The following is a 22,803-nucleotide window of genomic DNA, read 5'->3' as shown; positions in this document are numbered from 1 at the left end:
CAAAGGCACGCTGCTGCACAGCTCCAGATGGGTAAGGGCAGGGGGTAGCAGAGAAGTGTGAGCCTCTGGCCCCCTGAAGCACACGGTTCCCTGGAGCCAGCACGTGCCAACCCCTGTCGCCTCCCCCAGGTTGTGTACTACTCGGAAATGCACAAGATCTTTGGAGACCTGTCCCATCAGCTTGACCAGCCAGGCCACTCCGATGAGCAGCGGGAGCGGGAGAACGAGGCCAAACTCAGTGAGCTCCGGGCCCTCTCCATTGTGGCCGATGACTGAATCCCCGTCACTCTTGGAGGACTCCTGTGACGTGGTCAGCCTCATTCATCCTTGCCCTTCTCAGGGCTAGCTGCTCCTCTCACAGGCTGGGGACAGAGGTGGCCCTGGTTCACTTGCCGGCCCTTTGCAATGAATGACTCTTCCTGAGCCTGGCACCAGGAGCCCTAGGCAGGCCGCCGTCTCCCCACTCACAGCCCCAGCAGGTAAGCAGTGTAGACAAACCCTTGGGGCTTTTTTATTTGGAGAACCGTCCAGCATGCATCCTGGCCCACGGCCTGAGCAAGCTGCAGCCCTTCTGAGGCCATGGGCTTCGTTGGCTAAGTTGGGGGTCTTAGCCTTGCATGCGTTGTGGGCATCAAATCTACCTCCAAAAGACCCATCCTGGGGAGCCCTCTGGCCCCTCGTTGCCTTTTCACTTCAAAACCTCTTTTTTCTGGGAGAGGCCCTGAACCCTGTGCGGGAGAGCTGGTCCTCCAGCCCTGGCAGGCCCTCAGCCAGCTTCCCAGCAAGACAAAGGGCACCCTTGTGGCTTTGGGACCTAAGTGGTTGGGGTTCCCGAGGTCACTGAGGACTGGTACCTCGGGAACGCAAGCTGTCAGTGGAACTGTCCCACAAGAATTCACAGGTCTCAAAGCAGGAACAGTGGGTTTGTGTCTCACCTGAGTATCTGGAATTTTATTTTTTCAAGTAAAATTTTCAATGAAACGTCCACATAGTATTGTGCTGTAACTTAGGCGAGCAGAGGAAACCCCTTCCTGGGCCTGCTGCCCTCCACGGAGCAGCAGCACCCTCCAGCAGGCAGCCCAGCATGCCAGGGGTGTGTGCGCACCTCCCCGGCCCTGGCCCACCTTCTGGAGCGAACTGCACCGTGGTCCAGCAGAGGCGCTGGGTGGGAGGGCACGCGGGCAAGCCTAGGAGAGTAGGAAGAGCTGTGGAGGACACACTCTCAGTTTGTTTTTGACTTTGGTTTATTTAAAAAACAAGCCAAAAAAAAAAAAAAAAAACCCCAACTTTATATACAAAGTCAAACTGAAACCACGGATTATGGAAAGAGGCAAGAATTATGGGTAACAGGGGAGAAGGCTGGGCCAGAGCCAATACCACATTCTGAACACAGGAGCCACGGGAAAGAGGTGCTGGTTTCTTCTGGCAAGACCGGGGTGACTGGAACGCAGTGTTCTACTGGCAAACCCAGCCCAACACTGAGCTCTTTCTAGCATGGACTCCATTCCCGTGATGGCCAAGGGAGACCCTTCCCCCAGAAGCCTGTGTCCGGAACCTAGCAGAGCCTGTGCCATCCGGAGGAGGGGGCTGCTTAGCCCCAGCCAGGCTCCATGTCTTGCTCTTCAGTTCCGTTCACTGACATCAGACCTTGTCCCACACTCGAAAAGCCTTTTTCTCCCCTGTCTTATTCTAAACTGGAAGAGGACAGGAGAAAGTCAGCACAAGACTAAAAGGGCCCCAGGAGAAATACCAAGGTTGAGGGCAAAATGACATTCTAGGGGTGCAAAAGATGTTGTATTTAGTTGTTAAGTGGAACCGGGGTTCCTCACACATCCATCCCACATAGCACAGCCCCCAGCCTGATGGCCTGCCGTCCCCTAGAGGCTGAGCATGGGGTCAGCCACCCCTGCCCTGGCTCCCAGGTCTCGCTCTCGCTGCTTTCTGGTACCGCAAGGGCTCCAACTTTGCCGGGCGCCACCGCTGCCCTCACAGGATGGCAGTTCCGTGCGAGGCCGTCAGTTGCTAGGTGCCGGCTCCTCCTTCTCCACCCAGCTGTCAGCCTGTTTGAAACAGATGATGTACCCAGAATCGGGCCTGGCAAGGTGATCTGAGGACTGCGGACTGCGGACTGCCTCCTGCTGGGAAGCTCCCACTGCACGCTGCTGACTGCTCAATTCCCAGAGAACCTGCAACCAGGGGCACACTGCCTGGCAAGCGATGGAAAGACGAAGCCGGTGCCTGCTGGCCCTCTGGTCACTCCCGACACGGGCAAGCGCCCTTCTGGGGACTTTTGGAGCTCAGGGAAAGGAGCTGTGCTGCCTCCTGGTCCACCCCCACCTTACCTTTTCCACCACCCGCTGGATCTCCAGCTGCAGGGGGGTCAGACGCCTGCGGAGCTCCTGCAGCAGCCGCTGGAGCTGGCTCTTCTGTCGCTCCGCCGTCCGGGCGGTCTCCTCGGCCTCCGCCAGCCGGACTCGCAGCTCCTGCATCTCTGCCGCCAGCGTCTTATTGGTTACTTCAGTGGCTGAGAAACGGTTATGGCTCTCCTCTGCAAGGTGGAGAAGGAAACGGGGACGGCTGCTCCATCAAGGCCCAGAGCACAGGGCAGGGCCTGAGCCTAAGCAGCAGGTTCCCTACTGGTCTGCATGTGACCCCATGGTGGCTGCAGCCCCAGGCCCTCACCCAGCTTCAGCTCCAGTGTGTGGATCTTGTTCTCTAGGTAGAGCCGGCCGCTGTCCTGCTGCTCCGCGCGCTGCAGCAGGCTCCCCACGTTAATCAGGCTGCCATTGTGGGACACCAAGGCTTTGTGTTCTGTGGGGGCAGCACCTGGCTTCGTGCTTTTCCCAGGAGGGGGCAGCAGGTCCAGGTTTCCTAGAGAGAACCGTGAAAAAGAATTCAGGATGGAGTCTCCAGAGAGGGCAGCCTGCCCTGCCCGTGCCCCAGGAAGGCTGCAGGGCCCCAGAACATACCGAAGAGCACCTCCTCGGGAAGGCCACCATCCAGGCCCTCCTGGCGGCTGTACTGAAGGCTCCGGTACTGGCAGATGTTCTGGGTCACCACCCTGCTGACCAGCTGCTTGGCCTGCAGAAAACACATCTGCTGATCAGAAGGCCCCGTCCCCGACCCTGGCCATGGGCGGGAACCTAGAGCAGGAGTAAGTGCAGGCCTGTGCCCATGTGCTGGGGCAGAGGAAAGAAGGTACCTGCTCTGCACTGAGCCGGATCCCAAGGGTAAGGAGGATCCTCTCTAAGTCTCGCCGGTGCAAGTAGCCACACCAGTTGGCATCAAAGAACACAAAAGCAAGCAGACAGTCTAAGGGGAGCACAGCAGAGGGATCCAGCTCCTTGGGCTGCAAAGAAAACAAAGATGAGCAGGATTTGCAAATAGTTCCCTCAGTGGCTCTATCGCCCAGGATTCAGCCTGTCCAGAATCCAGTGGCTTGGGCCACATGCAGTGATGCATGCCTGAAGTCCCAGCTGCTGGGGAGGCTAAGGCAGGAGAATCACTTGAACCCAGGAGTTCGAGGCTGCAGTGCACTATATTCATGCCTGTGAATAACCACTGTGCTCCAGCCTGGGCAACACAGCGAAACCCCGTCTCTAAAAAACAAAACATCAAGCACCTTGCCTGATGTTCATCACGCCCAAGCCAGCCTTCCTCTCTGGCCCACTTTGGCAAAAGCTCCTGTGCTCCTCTCTCAGGAGAGGATCAAATACCCCTCTCCCATTCACCCCAACAGACACTGAAATGTTCTCCTGGAGCCTATGAACGTGCCCTTCCATGAGCCAAGGACCACACTGTGTGTTGGGTCCATCAAGAAAGGAAGTCACTGGTAAGCATCCTTCTCCCAGGAGTGGGCCAGAGGCCTTGCCAAGCCTCACCACCACTGAGACCCAGAGTGGTCGAGAAGAGGCCTCACCATGTCCTGAAGTGAAGAGAACTCCATCTCTGACTGGTTTGAGGCAACGGACCGGACCTCCGAATCCTCCAGCTTTGCTCCTGCTACAGAAAGGCCAAGATAAATGGAGAGCAGGGCCCACCCAACTCCACAGTACAAAAATGAAAACCAGCTTGGCCACAGGTGGAAAGCCACATCCCAAGCCTGCAAGCTCCCCTCTCACCACTCAACATACCAAACTCCTCCTCTCCATCATCCCTCAGAAGCAACAGTTCTGGGTCCAGGGCCATCTCACACAGGTCCTCAGAAGCCTCGCCCCGGGGTTTTTCTTCTTCCTCTCCCCCAGAAGAGAGTGGTTTGGGCAAAAGCCCATCCTCCTTCTACAGAGGCAGACAAAGGTTATAAGGAAAAGGCAGGCAGTTACCATAATTACCAATAGTAAGCATGGCTGACACCTGAGTATCAACTATGCCCCAGGCACTGTATGGAGGGCTCTACAGATACCGTCTCATTTCATGTATTTAATTTCATTAAGTGGGATTCAGAGCATGCCAGGGCATCGCCAGACACCTGGGCTTTTTTCCTCAGGAGTTGATCTTGGTCCCAGAAGAAATTACATTCATTTGATTGATAGTATTTAAACAAGCAGCAGCTGGCCATGGTGGCTCACACCTGTAATCCCAGCACTCCTGAGGTCAGGAGTTCAAGACCAGCCAGGCCAACATGGTGAAACCCCATCTCTACAAAAATTAGCTGGGCATGGTGGTAGGTGCCTGTAATCCCACCTACTGGAGAGAGGCTGAGGCAGGAGAATCGTTTGAACCTGGGAGGCAGAGGTTGCAGTGAGCCGAGGTTGCGCCACTGCACTTCAGCCTGGGTGACAGAGCAAGACTCCATCTCCCCAAAAAAAAAAAAAAAAAAAAAAAAAAAAAAGCAGACTAGTATTTTAGAAAAGGTTTACAAATCTTTTTTTTTCTTTTTTGAGACAGAGAGTCTTACTCTCTCGCCCAGGCTGGACTGCAGTGGCGCGACCTCGGCTCACTGCAACCTCCGCCTCCCGGGTTCAAGCGATTCTCCTGCCTCAGCCTCCCGAGTAGCTGAGAAAACAGGCATGCACCACCACACCCGGCTAATTTTTGTATTTTTAGTAGAGACGGCGTTTCACTATATTGGCCAGGCTGGTCTCAAACTCCTGACCTCATGATCTGCCCACCTCGGTCTCCCAAAGTGCTGGGATTACAGGGGTGAGCTACAGCGCCCGGCCTACAAAATTTTCTAGTTAACCATCAGGCAATCAAAGCACCCCACTCTGCCAAGCGTTCTCAGTGACAAGGGTTTCTGTGCTGTCAGGCTGCTCAGCCATGCTCCCTGCACTCTGCGCCACCTTCCCTTGCACTAGGTGTGCTACTTACTAGCTGTGCGGCCTCAGTCCATGCCGAGCAAGGGTGCAGGGAATGAGCTAAGGCACAGGAAGCGCTCGGAACAGAGCCCGGGGTAAAGGTGCGCGGTCACGGTAAGCACTATGACAGCCCGAGGTGGCAGGGTACTCACCAGCGGGGCCTCTGACTCTGTAGCCGGGCCCTCATTCTGTGCCTCATCCTTGGGCTCCTTGACCACCTCCTCTTTGATGGCTTCTTCCTCCTTGGTGGCTTCTTCCTTGGCCGCCTCCTCCTTCTCAGGTTCAGGTGGGGACACGACCTTTTCAGGAAGGCTCAGTAGCATCTTATAAACTCTATAGCCAAAATCCCTCTGGAGCATCTCCAGAAACAGCTCGGCCAGCACCATCACCTGATGGGGAGGTGGGAGGGTCCATGAGCATCAGGAAGAAAGACTGCTTCAGGCCCACAAATCCCAGCCCACAGCCTCCCCAAGACTCTTGACACCTGCCTCAAAAGAGATCCTTTCCTTTGGCCTCCGATCCTCCACAATCCCATGGAGGGACAGGTTTACACAGCCAGGGCGTGCGATGACAGCAGGTTCTAGGGGGGGTGGAGGGGCCTCTGGGAGATCAGTGTCCGTTTCCTGCTGTGTGGTGGCCTCTGGAGTTTCTGCGTTCCGTCTAGAAGTGTCTGCTGCTTGCTCCAAGGCATCAGGTGCCTGTTCAGTAGGCTCCGTTTCCTGTGACAACAGCTGAAATGAGACCCTCTGGGTCCCGGGATTAGGCCACCTATATCCCCCGCTGCTGGCTAAGGCACAGCCTTACCCCTTGTGCCTCCTGGGTTGGGGGAGCTGCCTCTGCAGCTTTCTGCTGGCACAGGGCCTCCCACTCCTCCAAAGTAGGCATGATGGTCCAGACATCCGGCAGGTACACCACCACTGTCTGAAGCCGCCGGGGGGGTCCCGGCTGCAGGTACTGAAACTCGGCAAAGCGCCACCTGCACATGGCAAAAGGAGGTACTAACTTCTTTAGTGACAACTCCACGCAGACACCACGTTCACAGGCAAGGGCTTCAGTTTCCAGTCAGCACTCAATGAGCACACACTGCGAACCAAGCTTTGAAGACACAACAGGAAAGCTACAGACCAAGTCCTCAAGAAATGATCAGTCAGTGGGGAGGCCGCAACCACACAAGCACCCTACAAGGTGCAAGGACAACTCCAGGGAGTCTCAAGTGCAGCCTGGTGGCTCAGCCAGATTTTGGCATACACCCCACCCTACCCTGAGGCACCAGAGGGGGAAGGAACGGGACTAGGGGGCAGAGAGCTAACCAGCAGAAAGGGGCAGGGACCGGGCCTTCCCAACAAAACCTCCCCAACCTGGTGCGTTGGTGCAGCTGAGGCTCAGGAAGCCCACTCACCACTTGGTACAGCCGCTCAAATCAATGCCAGTCTGGGCCTGCGCACAGCGGATGGCGGTACGCACCAGCACCTGCGGGTCAGCCTGGGGGTCGAGGCCATCCAGGGAAGGAGACCATTCACCCCCAACCAGCACTGCCTCCTCTTCTTTCCTGCCCAGCAAAAACTGCAAGAAGAGATCAGGGATACAAAACAAAAAACTACATTACCTGGGTCTCCCACTGCAGGGCAAGGCTGCCACCCATCAGGATGAAGGCAGCCGGAAGTGGGGAAGTCCACCACACAGTGAGGTCTCTATCTGCAAACATGAACCAGCCACCTCGCTCTCTCTGACTAGTCGTAACAGCTCTGAGCTGCACCTTCCTCCTGGGTGAAATGAGGGGTGTTCGGCTCTGAGATGCCTCGTTTTATGCATTCAGGAACAGGAGCCGAACACTCAAAACATGACAGGTTGTGCACATTACCCGTGAATGCATCTCCTCCTGCTCTCCAGCTCTTACCTTAATCTGCTTCAGAGGATGCTCTGGCGTCTCCCTTGGCTCAGCCATGTCATCCACAAAGAGCATGCAACAACGATACAATTCCTCCAACCCCGGGGAAGAGAGCAGCAGTACCTGTGCAGGAGGAGACACTCAGAGCTGCCTTCAGCCTCCAGAAATCAGATAAGTGAGAGACGCCTGTCAGCTTACCTTCGAACTATAAGCGGGGTCACTGTCTGCAGTGATGGGCTCAGCACCAGCGTCTGGAGCTGCCTCCTTTTCAGAAGAGACCTGGATCCGGCTTGGATGATGGAGGGAAAAGGGCTGGCTCAGGGGGAAGGCTGATAGCCAACTCAGATGCACGGACAGAAAATCTGAGGGGACCAGGAGGCTGCGGTAACGGCGCTGGAGTTCTAGGAAGTCACAGATGGGGCTACAGGAAGACAGCAAGGGAATCCAGACTGAGCAAAGACTAAAACATTCGAAATGAAACCATCAAAGATTTGAAAAAATGGGCGAATTTTTTTTCAGTCTGAGAACTTTTGAAGTAAGGCACCTCTCAAGGAAGCTAGATCAGATCTGACCACTTAATTTACAAACTCTAGATGGCAAAAGTCAAACTGGGAAAGGGAAAAAAGAAAACACTTATAACACATGACAGAGAAATGGGTCATTGCCTTAATATAAAGGAACTCACAAATCAGTAACAAAAAGTTCAAAAGCCTAAAACGGAAAATTGACATCAATAGGTTCTTAAGAGAAATACATAAGAATTAGAGGCCAGGAAAATATGCTCAATCTCACTTACAATTAAAGAAATGCAAACCACATTATCATGTGTCACCAACTAGACAGACAAAGATGAAAAAGTCGGCTAACAGTGTTGGCAACGGCACGGGGAAATAAGGTCTCCACACCCCACTGGTTAGAGCAGAAGGGGCACAGCCTCTTCAGGAGAACTGGCAATAGCTATGGAAGCTTAAAGCAAAGCCTTTGAGCCAGCTGCTCCATTTCTAGAAATTGATCGCAACAAACACACAGGTGTAGGTAGAAGGATGTTCATTCCAAGAAAATTTAGGATAGAGTGCAAATGGAGAACTGGGTAAATAAATCATGTTCATCCATTCAATGAATACTGTGTAGTTGCTAAAAAAAAAAAAAAAAAAAAAGAACTAGATCTAATAAATGTTCATACGAAATAAAATCTAAAGTACATTCAGTGAAAAGGCAAACCACCAAACAGTATGTACAACAGGTTTCCATGTGCTTTTCGTTTTGTAAGAAAAGGCTGTAAGAACATACATGTGCACTTGCATAGACGCCATCTCATTTACATAAGAAACTATTACCAGCAGCAAGACTCAGCCCACCTCAGCCTCGCCACTCACCTGTCCACAGTGTAAGGAGTGAGGTGGACCCGGTAAGGAGGCAGGTCATGCCTTGGCTTCTTAGCACCCCAGGGCTCTCCACCAGCCCGCTGTTTGCGTTTCTTGGAGTCATAGTCATCACTAGAGGTTGACCCATCACCAACAGTAAGAAACCACATTGTTATATGTATTCAATACAAACTGAACTAAAAGAACTGGAAACAATCGAAATCCCTCACATTCAATAAATGGAAAAAGAATCCATGCTAACAGCCATATGACAGAATGTTATAAAGATATTAAAATGGATATTTACTGTTTTAATAAACATTCCTGTTAAGCAAAAAGCACACTCTGCAACATTGTATACACAGTAGGCCTCAGCTACTGCAAAAACAACTTTAGAAGACTGAAAGGAAATAAAATATTAATGATGGAAGCCTCTGGAAAGCTTACGAATAATTTTCTATTTTTCTGCACTTCATTAATTATAGTTAACGTGATTTTTTTGAAATGAGAAAAAAATGATTTTTCTTTTAAAAACAAGAGACGCATATATGGATCCATGCTATGCGTCCTTTAAAGTAAATTTGGCCGGGCGCGGTGGCTCACGCCTGTGATCCCAGCACTTTGGGAGGCCAAGGCGGGCAGATCACGAGGTCAAGAGATCGAGACCATCCTGGCCAACATGGTGAAACCCCGTCTCTACTAAAAATACAAAAATTAGCTGGGCCTGGTGGTGCGTGCCTGCAGTCCCAGCTACTTGGGAGGGTGAGGCAGGAGAATCGCTTGAACCCAGAAGGTAGAAGTTGCAGTGAGCCAAGGTTGCACCACTGCACTCCAGCCTGGTGACAGAGCAAGACTCCGTCTCAAAAAAAAAAAGTAAATTTTATTAGAAGAGACGGTTACAAGGCTGGGCGCGGTGGCTCACGCCTGTTATCCCAGCACTTAGGGAGGCCGAAGTGGGCGGATCACTTGAGGTCGGGAGTTCAAGACCAGCCTGGCCAACACGGTGAAACCCTATCTCTACTAAAAATACAAAAAAGTAGCCAGGTGTGGTTGCACACGTCTGTAATCCCAGCTACTCGGGAGACTGAGGCAAGGAGAATCGCTTGAACCGGGGAGGCGGAGGTGGCAGTGAGCCGAGATCGCGCCATTCCACTCCAGCCTGGGCAACAAAGCGATACTCTGTCTCACCAAAAAAAAAAAAAAGAGAGACAGTTACAAATCCTTAATAATACACATTAAAGTCATAAAAACACTCAAACCATTTGCTCCAGTAATTACACTCTTGAAAATTTGTCCCAAGAAAGTTAATTCAAAAGAAGAAGAAAGACTACACATAGTGGAAAAATATGAAGCAGCATAAACTGAGAGTAAAAAACCAAATACATACTCAGCAATACCCAAATTTTCATAGTAAATACAAACAATCACGCAGCCATTAAAACACTCAGGATTATGCTGCAATATGGAAAACTGTTTATAAATACACAAAAATAATTTGAACTGTAAGATTAAAATTGCAAAAAGTATGCACATGTATAGATAAAAACTAGAACACAGGAGAAAAGAGTGGCAAGAGATTTTCCTTTTCAAAATTATTTTCTAAAATTCTTTAATACCTACCTGTTAACAACAGTTACCTTTAAAGAGAAAGAAGGTAGAAACCACACATATTTTTACATATATATATACACACACACATATGTATACACACACACATATATACACACATATATACACACACATACACACACACACACACATATATATACTTTTTTTTTTTTTTTTTTTGAGACAGAGTCTTGCTCTGTTGCCCAGGCAGGAATGCAGTGGCGTGATCTCAGCTCACTGCAACTTCTGCCTCCCGGGTTCAAGCAATTCTCCTGCCTCAGCCTCCCGAGTAGCTGGGATTACAGGTACCCACCGCCATGCCTGGCTAATTTTTGTATTTTTAGTAGAGTCAGGGTTTCACCATCTTGGCCAGGCTGGTTTTGAACTCCTGACTTCAAGTAATCCGCCCGCCTCAGCCTCCCAAAGTGCTAGGATTACAGGCATGAGCCACCGCGCCTGGCCTACGTATTTATATTATTTTAATTTTATGTATTTATATTATTTTAATTTTATATAATAGCATGTACTGCTTTACACATTTTTATAATAAGTCACCACAGTATTACACTATAACTACGTTATAAGTGCAATAGATATGGGTACAATAAATAAAAATAGTTGAGGAGAAAAAACCTTTAGACCATTCATTATAACGTGCCAGACTGATAAGGGGAAAACCCCCCATGTCACATGAGAGAAATAAAACCCACTGCCATTTCTCTGTGCCTGGGTAACTGAGTTGATTGTATTCACCAGAAGGTTCTTGTTCTGCCTTTTAGACCTGCCTGGGTCATTTCCCTGTTCACACCCCAGTGACTAAGCTGAAGAGATTTATCATGATGCCTGCTCTTTTCTGTTGGCCTTGGTCACTTCCATGTGCATGAGCATCTCCATCCAAAAGTGGCCTTCTTCTCTAGCCCCGATGGGATGTCAGTAGCCCATGTTTCTAATAGAAGACCCATGCCAAAGCCACTTTGACAACTCTCCAGCTCGCAGGAATGCTGTCGGCCTCTAGCTAAACTGTTATGGTCCACTCAACGCTGTACACTGTGTGGCCACTTTCCTCCGCTTCCTGTACATTGTCAGGAGGTTGTAAGGCAGCACCAGGGGCTGACCTCTCAGGACTTGCAGCAGCAGAGCCCAGCTGGGTACACCTGTCTAAAAACCACAGCACAGCAGTAGCAGCTCAATGGAGACATTGTTCTCTGCATCCCAAAGCCAGGAATTCAAAATAAAGCTTGGCTTCCATGCAAAACATTAATGTGGCTGAGTCCTTCATAAATTAAAAGCTGAGAAACTAAATAAATAAATAAAAGTTGCTGCCCCAGAATGACCTACTTCCTACTACCCCTGGCCCCACTCTGCACATTCTCTCTACTGACGAATGGTAATATAATATCTCCCTCCCAATGGTAGTATAGGTTGAGTATCCCTTATCTGAAATGCTTGGGACCAGAAGCATCCTGGGTTTGGAATTTTTTTCAGATTTTGCAATGTTTGCATTATACCTACTGGCTGAGCATCCCAAATCCAAAAATCCAAATCTGAAATGCTCAATAAACATTTCCTTTTGAGTGCCATGTCAGCACTCAAAAAGTTCTCGATTTGAGAGTACTTTGGGTTTAAGGATTTAGGATGCTCAACCTGTACGTCCTTTCTGTAGAAGCTGTGACACTGAAGCATAATGGCCAAAGTAATACAACAGACCTTGCATGGGCCTCAGCACGTCCAGGACAATCAAATGCAACTGATAGAGAAAGCCTGAAATTAACCGTAAAGCAGAAAGTCCACGGCAGTCACAGAGTTTCACCCAGGCTACACCGTCTCAGAAGGCACCTGCTGTGATTTTGTAATGAAGCCTTTAATAAACTCACACACTGTGAAAGGGAGAAGGTCCCTAGAAACTGAGGACCAGGAAGATGCACAGGACAAGAGGAGTGGGTAAACACAAAATATATACCAGCGACTGGATATATTTATATACTTATGAATATGGTGTCTACAATGGAGAATGGGACACAGGGTTTCAAGCAGTGGAAACCCCATGGCAAACAATCCCAAAGCTTCCCCCTACTTAGAATTCACAATGGGCCGGGCGTGGTGGCCCACACCTGTAATCCCAGCGCTTTGGGAGGCTGAGGTGGGAAGATGACTTGAGCCCAGGAGTTCGAGACCAGCCTGGGCAACATGGTAAAACCCTTTCTCTGACCCCCACAAAAATAAATAAATATTTACTTATTTTTTGTAGAGATAGGCTCCCAAAGCACTGGGATTTATAGGCATAAGCCATCGCACCCAGCCTTACAAAAAACGTTTTAAAAAATTACTCCAGCATGGTGGTGCACACCTGCAGTCCCAGCTACTGCGGAGGCCGAGGCAGGAGGATGGCTTGTGCCAGAGAGATCAAGGCTGCAATGAGCCGTGATCACACCACCACACTCCAGCCTGGGTGACGGAGCAAGCCCTTGTCTCAAAAAAAAAAAAAAAAGAAAAAAAAAGGGTTAAGGGTTACATAACATTTCCCATTTGTCAAAACTGTCAAGATTTGTGCATTTCAATCTACATAAGTTCCACGTTAAAATTTTTTACCTTAACAAAATCAAGTGGGAGCAGTGAATAGATGGAGGTAGAGATGAAAAAGAATGGTAGCTGATACTTGAAGAAGCTGGGTAATGGGTATAATAAGGTTCCTCACACCTTTCTGTTTACCTTGCATATAGTGAAATTCTCCATTATAACAAGTTTAAAATGAAGACAGAACTAGAACGAGTCTTAAACAAATCATTCTGGAGCTTAACTTTTAGAGGTATAAGCAAAACACTCAGGGAGAGTGAGACTGAGGAAGGAACATGTGAACTGGAGAGAAGACGGGACAGCATGCTCCTAGTGGTCCCCAATGCTACAGATGACACAGCATCACCAGGATACCCTAAAGGCCCAAATCAGCCATGCTTGCTCCACACATGGCTGAGAAAGCTACCTGTGTGTCCAAGGCACGGGGGCCTGAACTCCCAGGCAGAGTGCAATATACACCTTCTAACAGCATACTGATGAGTATGGTGTCTATAAAGAAACGTTTTAAACAACGAGAACAGATACTGCAGTGTTCTAGTTGTTTTGACATGTTACTATTGAGAGTTTCCATTCCTATCATCTCAACTTAGGGACTAGAAACAGAAGAGTATTTAAGAAGTATCTCAACATGACATTTTGAAAGATGAACTGTATCAACTCCCTGCTTGCTTAACCACTGTATAAAATTCCAATATTTTTATACACATTTCAGTTGTGTCTACATACTTCACAGAAAAGGGACTAGGATCTAGCTGCAGGCAAAGAATGTTAGTGGTAAGCATAGCCACCTTCCAAGCAGTTGACCTGGGTTCACTTCCTGGCCAACACAAAAAAATAATAATAAAATAAAGAGAATGTTAGTGTCAACAAGTGGCCAAAAAAAGGGACATCATCCTCTTACCTTCGGCCCTGATCCAACCGTCCATGAGGGCCCCGGGCAGGAAATCTGTTCAGGTGGCTCAGGTGAAGTGTGTGGGATGTTTGGAAGAGACTCAGAGCTGCAGAAAGGAAATGACTGGTGACTCAAAAACCCTAAAAACCGGCCGGGTGCAATAGCTCACACCTGTAATCCCAGCACTTTGAGAGGACAGTGCAGATGGATCACTTGAGGTCAGGAGTTCAAGACTAGCCTGGCGAACATGGTGAAACCCCGTCTCCACTAAAAATACAAAAAATCAGCCGGGCATGGTGGTGGGTGCCTGTAGTCCCAGCTACTCAGGAGGCTGAGGCAGGAGAATGGTGTGAACCCAGGAGGCGGAGCTTGCAGTGAGCCGAGATCGCGCCACTGTACTCTAGCCTGGGTGACAGAGCAAGACTTTCTCTCAAAAAAAATTAGCCGGTCATGGTGGCGGGCGCCTGTAATCCCAGCTACGGGGGAAGCTGAGGCAGGAGAATTGCTTGAACCCAGGAGGCAGAGGTTGCAATGAGCCGAGATCGTGTCATTGCACTCCAGCCTGGGCAACAGAGCGAGACTCCATCAAAAAAAAAAAAAAAAAAAACCCTAAACACCTATCCAGATTGCCCACCTTTCTTCCAGTACATAGAAGTACCCACCTCTATGCTAAGAGCAGCAACCTGAAAGTCCATTGATCTAAACTACCCCATAATGCCACACCCAACAACAGTGCCACTCGTACTCACGCTTCTGAGGAAAGAGTGGGGGAATCCGGTGAGGCTGGAAGATCAACTGAGGCTGAGCTCCCAGGATCCCTTGCTTCTGGCCCAGGGCTGCTACATGCAGAAGAGGAGGTGCTGGGGACTTCAGTAGGGGCTGCAGAACAGGAGCCAGGAAATTCAGGGGACCCCATGGTTGAGGCACTCACTACCTTGGAAAGATGCAGTCCCACCCCCCTGACAAAAGTCAGGGTTTTGCCCAGCTGTCAGGGCACAGGGGCTTCCATCCCTTCCCTTTCCAATGCACATGCTAAGGAGATATGAATACCTGGTTGGAGAGCGTTTGCACCTTGACAGCATTCCAGGGCACTGCCTGGCCTGGGTTGTATGCAGCCTTCACCAGCACCTTCTCACCCAGCTGGGGCAGACGGCCCTTCACCACACTGTCAGCACACAAGCCAGAAGGCCCCATCAGAAGAGGGACCCTGGCCAGGCCACCCTGACTGCCCCTATGAGGCCTTTCCCATCAAGATTTCCCACACCTTGCACAAAAACAGCAAAGCAATGGCTTTGAGGCGGGTGGGGGCAATACCAGCATGGTGACAGAACTGAATCCAATAAGCATTTCCGTTAGGGGACCAACCTCAAGCCTACCTTAGCTGAAAAAAGACCTCTTCATCCACAACCCCAAAGTAGTCATGCAAGCTGGTAACAATACCAGTGAAGACCCGCTGTTTCTCCCCACCCTGTAAGAGAAGGAGACAGCTGAAAAGTAAAAGGGAGGAAACTGGACAAAATCACACTCTGCCATGAAGGTCTCATCTCAACCCACGCCCCAGCTCAGCGTACTGCATCAAGAGTTCGCACAGAGTGAAGTACAGGTGTGGTGGGCATACTCCATCATTAGGGGTTGGGGCATGTTTGAGCTGGTTCTTGACCCACAAGCTTCTTCTGGGATTTCCAGTTCATTAATTCCAAGACGTAAGCTAAAGATTTCCCTGGAGCGAGAAATGAAGATGCCCCAGTCTGAAGGCTATCTGGGCAACCCCATACTAGCCCACTACCAGGAGAGGGATCAGGAATGATAAACACTATTATGTAAGAGAAAAAGAGCACCAGGCCTCCATGCATTCAGTCCCAAGGGCTGAAACTTACTACAAGGGATGCCGAACCTACCTGAAGGTGCCTGGCATTCTGGGACAGTTCTGTGGCCACAGGAGGAGTGAGCAAACCAGGAGGAGGGCCCAGAAGAGATGTTGAAGCTGTGCCTATGGGGAAAGAGAAGCAATCTCCAGGAACCGCCCCTACCACCTTAAGCACGAGTCAACCAAAGGATGTGGTAAATCCAAAGGCTACAGCTCCAGCCAGCTCCTCCACAGAGCTTCACTGGCAATCACTGTGGGCATCTCCTGCTTTCCAGAGGAACATCAGCAGCAAATTGCTCTCCACCAGGGAAACCCCAAACTAACTCCAGAGCACATACTTCCCAGGATGAGGCCAGGTAGGGAGAACAGTGATCACCTGAGAAGTTGCGTCCCCCTGGAAGCGGGTTGATCCGCTGGCGCTTAAACTGGGACATTGGGAACGCTGTCCTCTTTCAGAGTCGTGGGGAAAAGGCTTCAATCCAAAAAGAAAGAAATTAACAGCTTATAAGGGAAATTTCCATCTATACCCGGAAAAGTGGAGAATCTTAAGTAAGGATATTTCGGAAAACAGGGAGGTGGGTAATAAGAATGAATGAAAGCAATGGATGGAGAGAATATAGAGAAGAAAGAAATGAAACAAGAAATTACATTGTTCCAGTTTGCCCTGACAATAACCTAGTGGTGCATGATACTGTCATGCTGTTTTACAGACAAGGAAACTGATGCTCAGAGAGATCAAGAGACTTGCCCGGGGCCACATAACCAGGTAGTGACAAAACTGCTACTCACACCCAGGCCTCCCAACAACTTAGCGCTCCTCTCACTATGCCACGCCACCCCCAGAGTAGCTGGCGGGGTGAGGGGCTCGAGAGAGCCCCGATGACATTCCTTCGTTCAAAAACATCCGCCAAAACCCTCCACGCAAGGCCCGGAAAAATGGAGGAGGCCGGTGCCGGCGAGGAGACTGTGTGGGCCCTCTCCCCGGAAGCCCGACCCGTTGTTTCCTCGACCGGCTGGTGGGAAGGCAGCTCCCTGGCCGACCAAACGCGAAACCGGCTGCGCGCCACCCTCCTGCTCCCACGCTCCCGGGCCCTCCGCTCCGGCCTCAGCAGCCGCCAGCGCCGGGTCTCCCAGCAGAGCCGCGGCGAGGCCACCAAGGGAGGACTGAGGCGCGCGGTTTCTCCTCCTCCCGCCCGCCCCCAAGGCCGAGGCCGTTGCCAGGGAGACGGGACTTGCAGTCCAAAGAGGGGCTCGGCCCCTTCCGCGCCCCACGCATCTTCGCCGCCCGGCCCTCGCAGCCCCTCGGCCAGCGGAGGGGCGGAGGGGCGAAGGGGCAGAGGGGCGGCAGGGGGCCCCCCAACCCACCTGCGGGCCAGGGCAGCGACACCGGGGGGACAAAGACACCCGGAACCACCACAGCCGCTGCTGCCGCCGCCACCGGAAGCGCCTCTCCGGAAGCGCGACCACTGGTCGGAAGCTGCCGCTCTCCCGGATATGGTCCCTCCCTCGTCTCCGCCGACCTCTCCCTTCCCCCACGCCGGCTTGCCATCCCGCGGCAACTGGGGAGCGGAAGTGCGCCTTCCCGGATCGGATGCGCGTCAGGAAGTCGCGCCTCGGTAGTGTCCTCGCTAAAGAATCCCATCAGGAAAGAAGGCTTCGGATCATTGGTTCCGGGCTCAAAGGAAGCGGGAGCTGGGCCCCCCAAACACAAGGGACCCCCGACTGCCTACCACGCTCGCCTCCCTCTGGCAGTCGAGACTGCAACAGATAAGGAAACCAGCCCCTCCTGACTGGAGGAGAAGGATGCCTATCAGTGACCATTTCTAAGAGACATTCCTGGTCTGACTCAAGCCAGTGACCACCATGCCTAGCCAGTCAGGAATCAGTGCCCTAATTCTCAAATATGAAATCTAAGAGGCCTCAATGAAATGACCTGCTCAAAATCTTGCCAGGAGACTGGCCATTTTAGTCCCCATTAGCAATCCCAGCCCCCCCTTATCCTCCGACCTCCCCATCATCACTCCAGCCTTACTTTCCCCTTTCCTATTCACCTGAGGTTTACAAAGCACTTTGAGGCAGTTTAATCTCACTTTATCCTCATAACAAGTCTGTGAGGTAGATAGGGCAGGCATCATTATTCCCAGCGGGAAGCTGTGGCTCAGAAAGGTTGACTTGGGGTCTAAAAACTAGTACAGGCATCTGGTTTGAATTAAGACCTGTAAACGCTAGTACGGAGCAGAGAAGCTGAGCACTGGCTTTGAAAGTTATTCAGTTCCCAGGTTGTCCCTGATCTTCCTCATTCCTTGTGCAGTCTTCAGGAGTCCGGGGCAAGATTCCATGCAGAGGCAGCCAAAGCCACACCGTTCTCTGTCCCAGGGCTGCCAGCATGGCTCTGAGGAGGAAAGCTCAGTAACTGCCCACTGGGGAATAAAGGTCAGTTCCATCCTTCTGCAGTGACCTCCCCCAGAATATCAACCCTTTGGATGCATTATTTCAGAAGAGATGGTTGGATCCAGCCAGCTTGCAACACTGACAGTCACACAGAGATATGCATACCATTGCGCATAAATACACATCTGCAACATGCTGGGCCCAGACAGGTCACCATGCCAAAAACACTCCACGGACACCTGACAATGAGTGAGTTCACATTGTGGAAGCCCAGGGATTTCTGGTGAGGAGGAAGAGCCCTGGAGCTGCGGCATCTTGGGGGCCTCTCAAGAAACCAAGGTTCCTGACCAGACTGCTTAGAGGAGAAAGATTCAGCCCTCGACTCAAGAGAGGAGGGCAGGCGTCAGCAGCTTTTCCTGGCAATGTGGAGAAGCAGCAAGAGGGCAGAGGGCGAGGAAGACTTCACAGCAAGTCCCCTCCACCCAGGGTCACCAGGTGCACCGAGAGGTCTCAGCCTACAGAAAGGTTTTTTGCTCGTTGCTTCTTAACCACTAATGATGGCATAAAGGTCTTCCGGTGGGGGCGGCACTGAGGCCTTTCAGGGAGGTCCCTGGACTCGATCCTGTGGAATGAAAAGAAGACATTAGGCTAGAAGGGGGAAATAAAACTAACAATGGCCCTAGAGTTGAGAGAACGTGGTTTATCTGCTGGTGGGTAGCTGGGTGTGGGCGCAGCCCGGGGCTGTTAAATGACTTGGTATTTCTTCCTCCTGGAGAACGATTCAATACAAGCCCCGAAGCATGATGGCCTTCACCCACTGTGAAATCCTTTGTGCTCCACCTTGCTCTCCCCACGAACCTGGAAGGTGGCCTAAATGTCAGCATTGAGGGTGAGGGGTTGCTGAGCTAGGGTAGGCAGATTTCCCACATTCTGGTCCTAGCTGTCACTGACTCACCGTGCGGCTTTGGAAAAGCAACTACCCCCAACCCCACCCAGAACCCTGCCTCCTTATCTGTAAATGGGGTGTTTTAACTACTGTTTCTTCTAGCAGCCCCTCCCAGACTGCCTCTCAAGTTTTGCGGGGACAATAATGACAACTGGCATGACAATCTCAGCATCCTGGCTTATCAGTCTCCTCTCCGTGCCCTAACCTGGGCTGGGCACGGGGCTCACCTGGGGTCAGAGCCATCAGGAGGGGCAGGGGGCTCAGGGTGGTGGTGGCTTCTCCGGCAGATCCGGTTGAGCAGGACCTTGACCTTGTCCCAGTGGGAGATATCCCGCTGAGCAGAGGATGAGGGGTCACCCAGAGCCCTCCCCACACTCAGACCCCCGACCAAGCTCCCAGAGACAGCTGTCGCCACAGCCAGGACAAGTCGCCTGCTCCAAACAGGAATCAATCCTGTCATTTCCCCAGAGTTGCTGGCCCCCAGGGTGCCCATGCATCCCCCACCTCCCCTCCCCCCACCCCAGCCCACCACCTGCCCCACATATACCTGTCCCCTACCTTGTGTCCCTGGGAGGATGGCAAGTGGTACGTTGGCTCCACTGGGGTTTCTGGCAGCCTGGGAGGGTTGGCACTGGGCACCTCCACCTTTGGGGGTGAAGCAGCCTTTGCTCCTTCAGAAAGACAGTCAGGTTGGCCAGGGCCAGAAGACACCCCATCAAGCTTCGGCTCAGAGGACCTGCTGGTGGGACCCCAGGCAGGCAGGACAAAGGGAGACACGATGGCCCCTCACCTGTGTGCTCTGTCTGGCTTAGCAGCTCCCATGGCCCCTGCCCCCGATTGCCTGGGGTGTGTAACGGGGACGGTAAAGGGGCTCGGGTCGACTCCTCCTCGCCGGGATCCTATGCACAGGAGAGACAGGTGATCAGGGCCTGGCTAGAGGGCTGAAGCTGCTCTGAGGGCAGCCATGGTTCCCAGGGTCCCATCTGTCCTCTCCCTCCCCCACTCGAATCTCACTCACCCCTGGGGGCCTCTGGATCCGCAGCTGCAGGTAGAGCTGCTGGAGCCTTGCCATCTGCTCCAGCACCAGGCACAGGTGTTCCAGATAGCGAAGACCCTGCCCGGGGAGGCAGGCCCAGGCTCCAGGCCCCAGGCCCCCCACCTGTGGGACATTGTGAGATAGGGGAGATTTCAGCCAGTAGGGCTCCTGCCCTACCCTAAGCAGCCAGGCTGGGCTCAGCCAGCAGATGGGAGCAGAGTGGGCCCCGAGGAGGAACACACGCAGCCGGCTTCCCCACTGCCCAGCGGGGCATAGTGCCAGGAAGGGCCCCCGTAGCTGCCCACCTCCTCTGCAGAGGTGGCCGTGCACAAATGGAACTGGGGTGCAGAAAGAACCTATGACACAACCCATCAATTAGGGGCAGGGAGTGCCCCACCCAGAGAGAGCTCCAGGGAGAACCAGAGGAGCTAGGCTGTCCATCCCACTCTTAAACCCAGCCTGAGAGTGAGCACTCACCGCCTCTTCTTCCAGGCCTGCCTCTAGGTCTGTGTCTGCCTCCATGGACTCCTGTTGCCCTGCTCCAAGGGGCACTTCACGCTCAGGCTTGCTTGCCAGCCGCAGGGAGCGGTGTTGTCCTGACAAGCTGGTGGGAGCTGTTGGGAGCCGGCGGGACCGCTCCAACACCTCCCCCAGCTTCTGGCTGGCCAGGAGTCGGCCTACCTGGGCGGGGGGCTCAGAACTCCCTGAGGATTCAAAGTCCAGGGAGTCCTGAGAAAGGCCCGGTAAGGCGGCCAGGGGGCTGTCCCCAACTGCCATCTCCACTCCTGAGTCCCGGGAGGCCAGTTTGAGAAAGAGTGCCTCCCTGCCGACACCTCTGAACTTGTCACCTCTCTCCCAGGATGAGCACCCGTGGGCAGCGTCGGGGATCCGTCTGTAGGTGCTGGTGACTCCAGGCACTATGCAGCCCCGTGCCAGGCCCTCGCCAGCCCCATCTGCATGGAGAGTCAGCGTCAGGCTGGGCAGGCCACCCCCAACACCCCCAGCATTCCTGAAGGCTGGCAGCACTGCCCCAGGGAGAAGTGTCCCGGAGCAGTGAGGAAGGGCGGTCACTGGACAGCCACGGGCAGCCCGGATATGGCCCCAGCTGTCTGGGAGATGTGTGGATGGGATTCCCTTCGCAACGGTTGTTAGCGACAGGGAACCCGTGCTCTGAGCTGTGTGGTAGGCAAAGCCCTGGCAGGCCACATCCATCAATCCCTTAGACGGCCTGCGCCTGCGCTTCCCACCTAGGATCAGCCCACGATCTCCCGAGTCAGAAGTAGGGAGCCACAGGCTCTTCCGCTGCTCCCCAAGCGGGAGTAGGACTGTATCCAGCTTCAGGGAGAGGGGAGAGGGTACAGAGAGGAAAGCCTGGGATCCAACCTGCTCTCTGGGGGCCCCTGCGGCATCAGGATGCCAGGTGAAGTCTCTCCTGCAGCTCACCGGGAGAGTGATAAAAATCACCGCTATAACCGATTTGGGCTTTTGTTGTAAGTGAGCAATAGTGAAGATTTTATGAAAAGTTTAAAATGAAAGAACTGAAGTGAAAGAAAGGGACGAAGGGGCAGCATTAGCACCCCCTCACTGTCACCTCCGCCAGGCCCTCTGGCGACGGGGCGTCCTGGCGGAATGAACGGTACGGGAAACAGGCTAGGGGGGCGGGGACGAGCTGCGGGGCACGCGGGAGCCGAATGCCAACCCAGGCCCCTCTGGGCAAGGAAGTGGGCCAGGAGGTCACTGGGTGGGAGAGGGGTCCGCAGCCACGGAGGGGGCTGGGGCGCGGGCGGATTCCCACATCCTCAGAAGGAGCGGGAAGGCGAGGGAAGCGGAGCCGGAGGAAGTGGGGCGGAGGCGGTGGCTGGTTTAACGCCTGGGCCCAAAGGGGTTCCAGCCTGCATGGCGTCCCCTGATGACCGCCCCTCCAGGGAGGCGGCGAGGGAGGCGCAGCGGCGCGGGCTCCGCCCGCGGGGTGCGCGGGGCTGGGCAAGAAACTGAGAGAGGGTGCCCGGCTTGGGGGCGGGAAGCGGCTCCGGGGCAGGGGGGAGCCCGGCCAGCCTGGGGGTGGGTGACTCACCCCGGCCGTCCACGGCGAAGGCGCGCCGCCGGCCCATCATGGCCCGCTCCCGGCCCCGGCCCCGGCCAATGCAGCCGCCCGAGGATCCCGGCCCGAGTCCCCGCGGAGCTCGGGCAGCTCAGGGAGCGCGTCCCGACCCAGCTGGGCGCGGCCCCCAGACACTCCCAGCGGGGCTGGGGGGGCGGGGAGCGGGGCTGGGGGGGCGGGGGGCGGGGCGGTGGGGGGCGTGGCCTAGGGGGAGGAGAGAGGAAGAGCGAGACGAGGAAGGGAGGGGCGAGGAGAGAGGGGAGGGGCGAGACGAGGGAGGGGAGGGGCGAGGCAAGGTAGGGGAGCGGCGAGAGGAGGGGAGGGGCGAGGGGAAGGGGGAGGGGCGAGGAGAAGGGGGCGAGGAGAAAGGGGCGGGGCAAGACGAGGGATGAGAGGAACGAGGCGAGGGAGGGGAAAGGAGAGGGAGGGGAGGGGCGAGGAGAGGGAGGGGAGGGGCGAGGAAGAGGAGGGCGAGGGGAGGGGAGAGGAGAGGGTGGGGAGGGGAGAGGGAGGGGAGAGGGGAGGGGCGAGGAGAGGGTGGGCAGAGGAGAGGGAGGGGAGAGGGGAGAGGGGAGGAAAGGAGAGGGGAGAGGGGAGGAGAGGAGAGGGGAGAGGGAAAGGGGAGAGGAGAGGGAGGGGAGGGGAGAGGAGAGGGAGGGGAGGGGAGAGGAGAGGGGAGGGGCGAGAGGAGGGAGGGGAGGGGCGAGAGGAGGGAAGGCAAGGGTGCCAGGTGGGGGGCGCAGGTGGCCGGGTCGCCAAGAACGAGGTCGAAGGCACGGACTGGGTGGCGCCCCCAACTGTGGCTGTGGCCAAAATAAGGGTCCCGATCAGCTGTTCTG

The 22,803-nt window shown here is 53.6% G+C and overlaps 3 protein-coding genes and 1 long non-coding RNA gene across 13 annotated transcripts in view, besides 8 other annotated features; 2 read left to right on the top strand and 2 right to left on the bottom strand.

Moving 5' to 3' along the window:
- Positions 1-1,280, top strand: part of BIN3 (bridging integrator 3) — a 48,704-nt gene extending 47,424 nt beyond the window's left edge. For all 4 annotated transcript variants that reach the window (NR_156436.2, NM_001363046.2, NM_018688.6 and 1 more), the window contains one exon: positions 130-1,280. Coding sequence is in view for 3 of the 4 variants with exons in the window: in NM_001363046.2 (NP_001349975.1) it covers positions 130-276 (147 nt within the window). In the remaining variant the exon portion in view is untranslated. The remainder of the gene's footprint in view (positions 1-129) is intronic.
- On the bottom strand, positions 184-16,941 carry CCAR2 (cell cycle and apoptosis regulator 2). Of its 5 annotated transcripts, none has more exons than NM_001363069.2 (21): positions 16,856-16,941; positions 15,867-15,962; positions 15,522-15,613; positions 15,000-15,091; positions 14,674-14,788; positions 14,373-14,502; positions 13,633-13,729; positions 8,562-8,681; positions 7,384-7,606; positions 7,195-7,308; positions 6,697-6,860; positions 6,102-6,273; positions 5,786-6,016; positions 5,450-5,686; positions 4,134-4,278; positions 3,920-3,999; positions 3,203-3,349; positions 2,970-3,081; positions 2,683-2,871; positions 2,343-2,548; positions 184-2,060 (listed from the first exon to the last, which is right to left on the bottom strand). In NM_001363069.2, exons 2-21 carry the CDS (start codon positions 15,922-15,924, stop codon positions 2,016-2,018), a joined length of 2,769 nt encoding a protein of 922 aa, NP_001349998.1. In that variant the 5' UTR covers positions 15,925-15,962; positions 16,856-16,941; the 3' UTR covers positions 184-2,015. The 5 variants fall into 5 exon arrangements, with proteins under 5 accessions (NP_001349998.1, NP_066997.3, NP_001349997.1 ...); NM_021174.6 differs by lacking the exon at positions 16,856-16,941 and adding an exon at positions 16,280-16,656 and having other exon boundaries at positions 3,920-4,002; NM_001363068.2 differs by lacking the exon at positions 16,856-16,941 and adding an exon at positions 16,280-16,656.
- Positions 16,524-16,583: a silencer, noted in NCBI's record as "silent region_19003". NCBI's record gives its function as "represses an Ori minimal core promoter by ATAC-STARR-seq in GM12878 lymphoblastoid cells {active_cell/tissue: GM12878}" and the evidence as "EXISTENCE:reporter gene assay evidence [ECO:0000049][PMID:35858748]".
- Positions 16,607-17,107: an enhancer, noted in NCBI's record as "H3K27ac hESC enhancer chr8:22462104-22462604 (GRCh37/hg19 assembly coordinates)". NCBI's record gives its function as "activates a minimal SCP1, AML or CMV promoter by ChIP-STARR-seq in primed H9 embryonic stem cells {active_cell/tissue: H9 hESC(primed)}" and the evidence as "EXISTENCE:reporter gene assay evidence [ECO:0000049][PMID:30033119]".
- Positions 16,644-16,943: a silencer, noted in NCBI's record as "silent region_19002". NCBI's record gives its function as "represses an Ori minimal core promoter by ATAC-STARR-seq in GM12878 lymphoblastoid cells {active_cell/tissue: GM12878}" and the evidence as "EXISTENCE:reporter gene assay evidence [ECO:0000049][PMID:35858748]".
- On the top strand, positions 16,698-18,565 carry LOC107986876 (uncharacterized). Its single transcript, NR_160769.1, has one exon. It is a non-coding gene; the product is annotated as an uncharacterized LOC107986876 (long non-coding RNA).
- Positions 17,114-17,223: an enhancer, noted in NCBI's record as "active region_27082". NCBI's record gives its function as "activates an Ori minimal core promoter by ATAC-STARR-seq in GM12878 lymphoblastoid cells {active_cell/tissue: GM12878}" and the evidence as "EXISTENCE:reporter gene assay evidence [ECO:0000049][PMID:35858748]".
- Positions 17,556-22,099, bottom strand: C8orf58 (chromosome 8 open reading frame 58). 3 transcript variants are annotated; one of them, NM_001013842.3, is made up of 7 exons: positions 21,938-22,099; positions 20,341-20,816; positions 19,846-19,986; positions 19,618-19,726; positions 19,386-19,498; positions 19,055-19,161; positions 17,556-18,503 (listed from the first exon to the last, which is right to left on the bottom strand). In NM_001013842.3, the coding sequence occupies exons 1-7, from the start codon at positions 21,975-21,977 to the stop codon at positions 18,392-18,394; spliced, it is 1,098 nt and encodes a 365-aa protein (NP_001013864.1). In that variant the 5' UTR covers positions 21,978-22,099; the 3' UTR covers positions 17,556-18,391. The 3 variants fall into 3 exon arrangements, with proteins under 3 accessions (NP_001013864.1, NP_775957.2, NP_001185756.1); NM_173686.3 differs by having other exon boundaries at positions 19,055-19,137; NM_001198827.2 differs by lacking the exon at positions 19,055-19,161.
- Positions 19,535-20,412: an enhancer, noted in NCBI's record as "H3K4me1 hESC enhancer chr8:22458799-22459676 (GRCh37/hg19 assembly coordinates)". NCBI's record gives its function as "activates a minimal SCP1, AML or CMV promoter by ChIP-STARR-seq in primed H9 embryonic stem cells {active_cell/tissue: H9 hESC(primed)}" and the evidence as "EXISTENCE:reporter gene assay evidence [ECO:0000049][PMID:30033119]".
- Positions 21,700-22,159: a silencer, noted in NCBI's record as "silent region_19001". NCBI's record gives its function as "represses an Ori minimal core promoter by ATAC-STARR-seq in GM12878 lymphoblastoid cells {active_cell/tissue: GM12878}" and the evidence as "EXISTENCE:reporter gene assay evidence [ECO:0000049][PMID:35858748]".
- Positions 22,190-22,289: a silencer, noted in NCBI's record as "silent region_19000". NCBI's record gives its function as "represses an Ori minimal core promoter by ATAC-STARR-seq in GM12878 lymphoblastoid cells {active_cell/tissue: GM12878}" and the evidence as "EXISTENCE:reporter gene assay evidence [ECO:0000049][PMID:35858748]".
- Positions 22,655-22,714: a silencer, noted in NCBI's record as "silent region_18999". NCBI's record gives its function as "represses an Ori minimal core promoter by ATAC-STARR-seq in GM12878 lymphoblastoid cells {active_cell/tissue: GM12878}" and the evidence as "EXISTENCE:reporter gene assay evidence [ECO:0000049][PMID:35858748]".

This window comes from Homo sapiens, chromosome 8 (genome assembly GCF_000001405.40).
Source record: "Homo sapiens chromosome 8, GRCh38.p14 Primary Assembly".
NCBI lineage: Eukaryota > Metazoa > Chordata > Mammalia > Primates > Hominidae > Homo > Homo sapiens.
Note: the sequence above shows the minus strand (reverse complement) of the source record. Positions and strands in the feature narration are given on the sequence as shown.

What these genes read in the sequence shown, in the direction of transcription:
- CCAR2 (NM_001393997.1), bottom strand. Translation starts at nt 15,924, where the DNA reads ATGTCCCAGTTTAAGCGCCAGCGGATCAACCCGCTTCCAGGGGGACGC. An exon ending in ATCCTCTGAAGCAGATTAAG is followed by an intron (nt 6,861 to 7,194) that starts GTAAGAGCTGGA and finishes CTCTTCTTGCAG; the next exon opens with TTTTTGCTGGGCAGGAAAGA. An exon ending in TCCAGCGGGTGGTGGAAAAG is followed by an intron (nt 2,061 to 2,342) that starts GTAAGGTGGGGG and finishes TGTTTCAAACAG; the next exon opens with GCTGACAGCTGGGTGGAGAA.
- C8orf58 (NM_001013842.3), bottom strand. Translation starts at nt 21,977, where the DNA reads ATGATGGGCCGGCGGCGCGCCTTCGCCGTGGACGGCCGGG. An exon ending in CAGGCCTGGAAGAAGAGGCG is followed by an intron (nt 19,987 to 20,340) that starts GTGAGTGCTCAC and finishes AATGTCCCACAG; the next exon opens with GTGGGGGGCCTGGGGCCTGG. An exon ending in GGATCCAGAGGCCCCCAGGG is followed by an intron (nt 19,727 to 19,845) that starts GTGAGTGAGATT and finishes TCCTGTGCATAG; the next exon opens with GATCCCGGCGAGGAGGAGTC.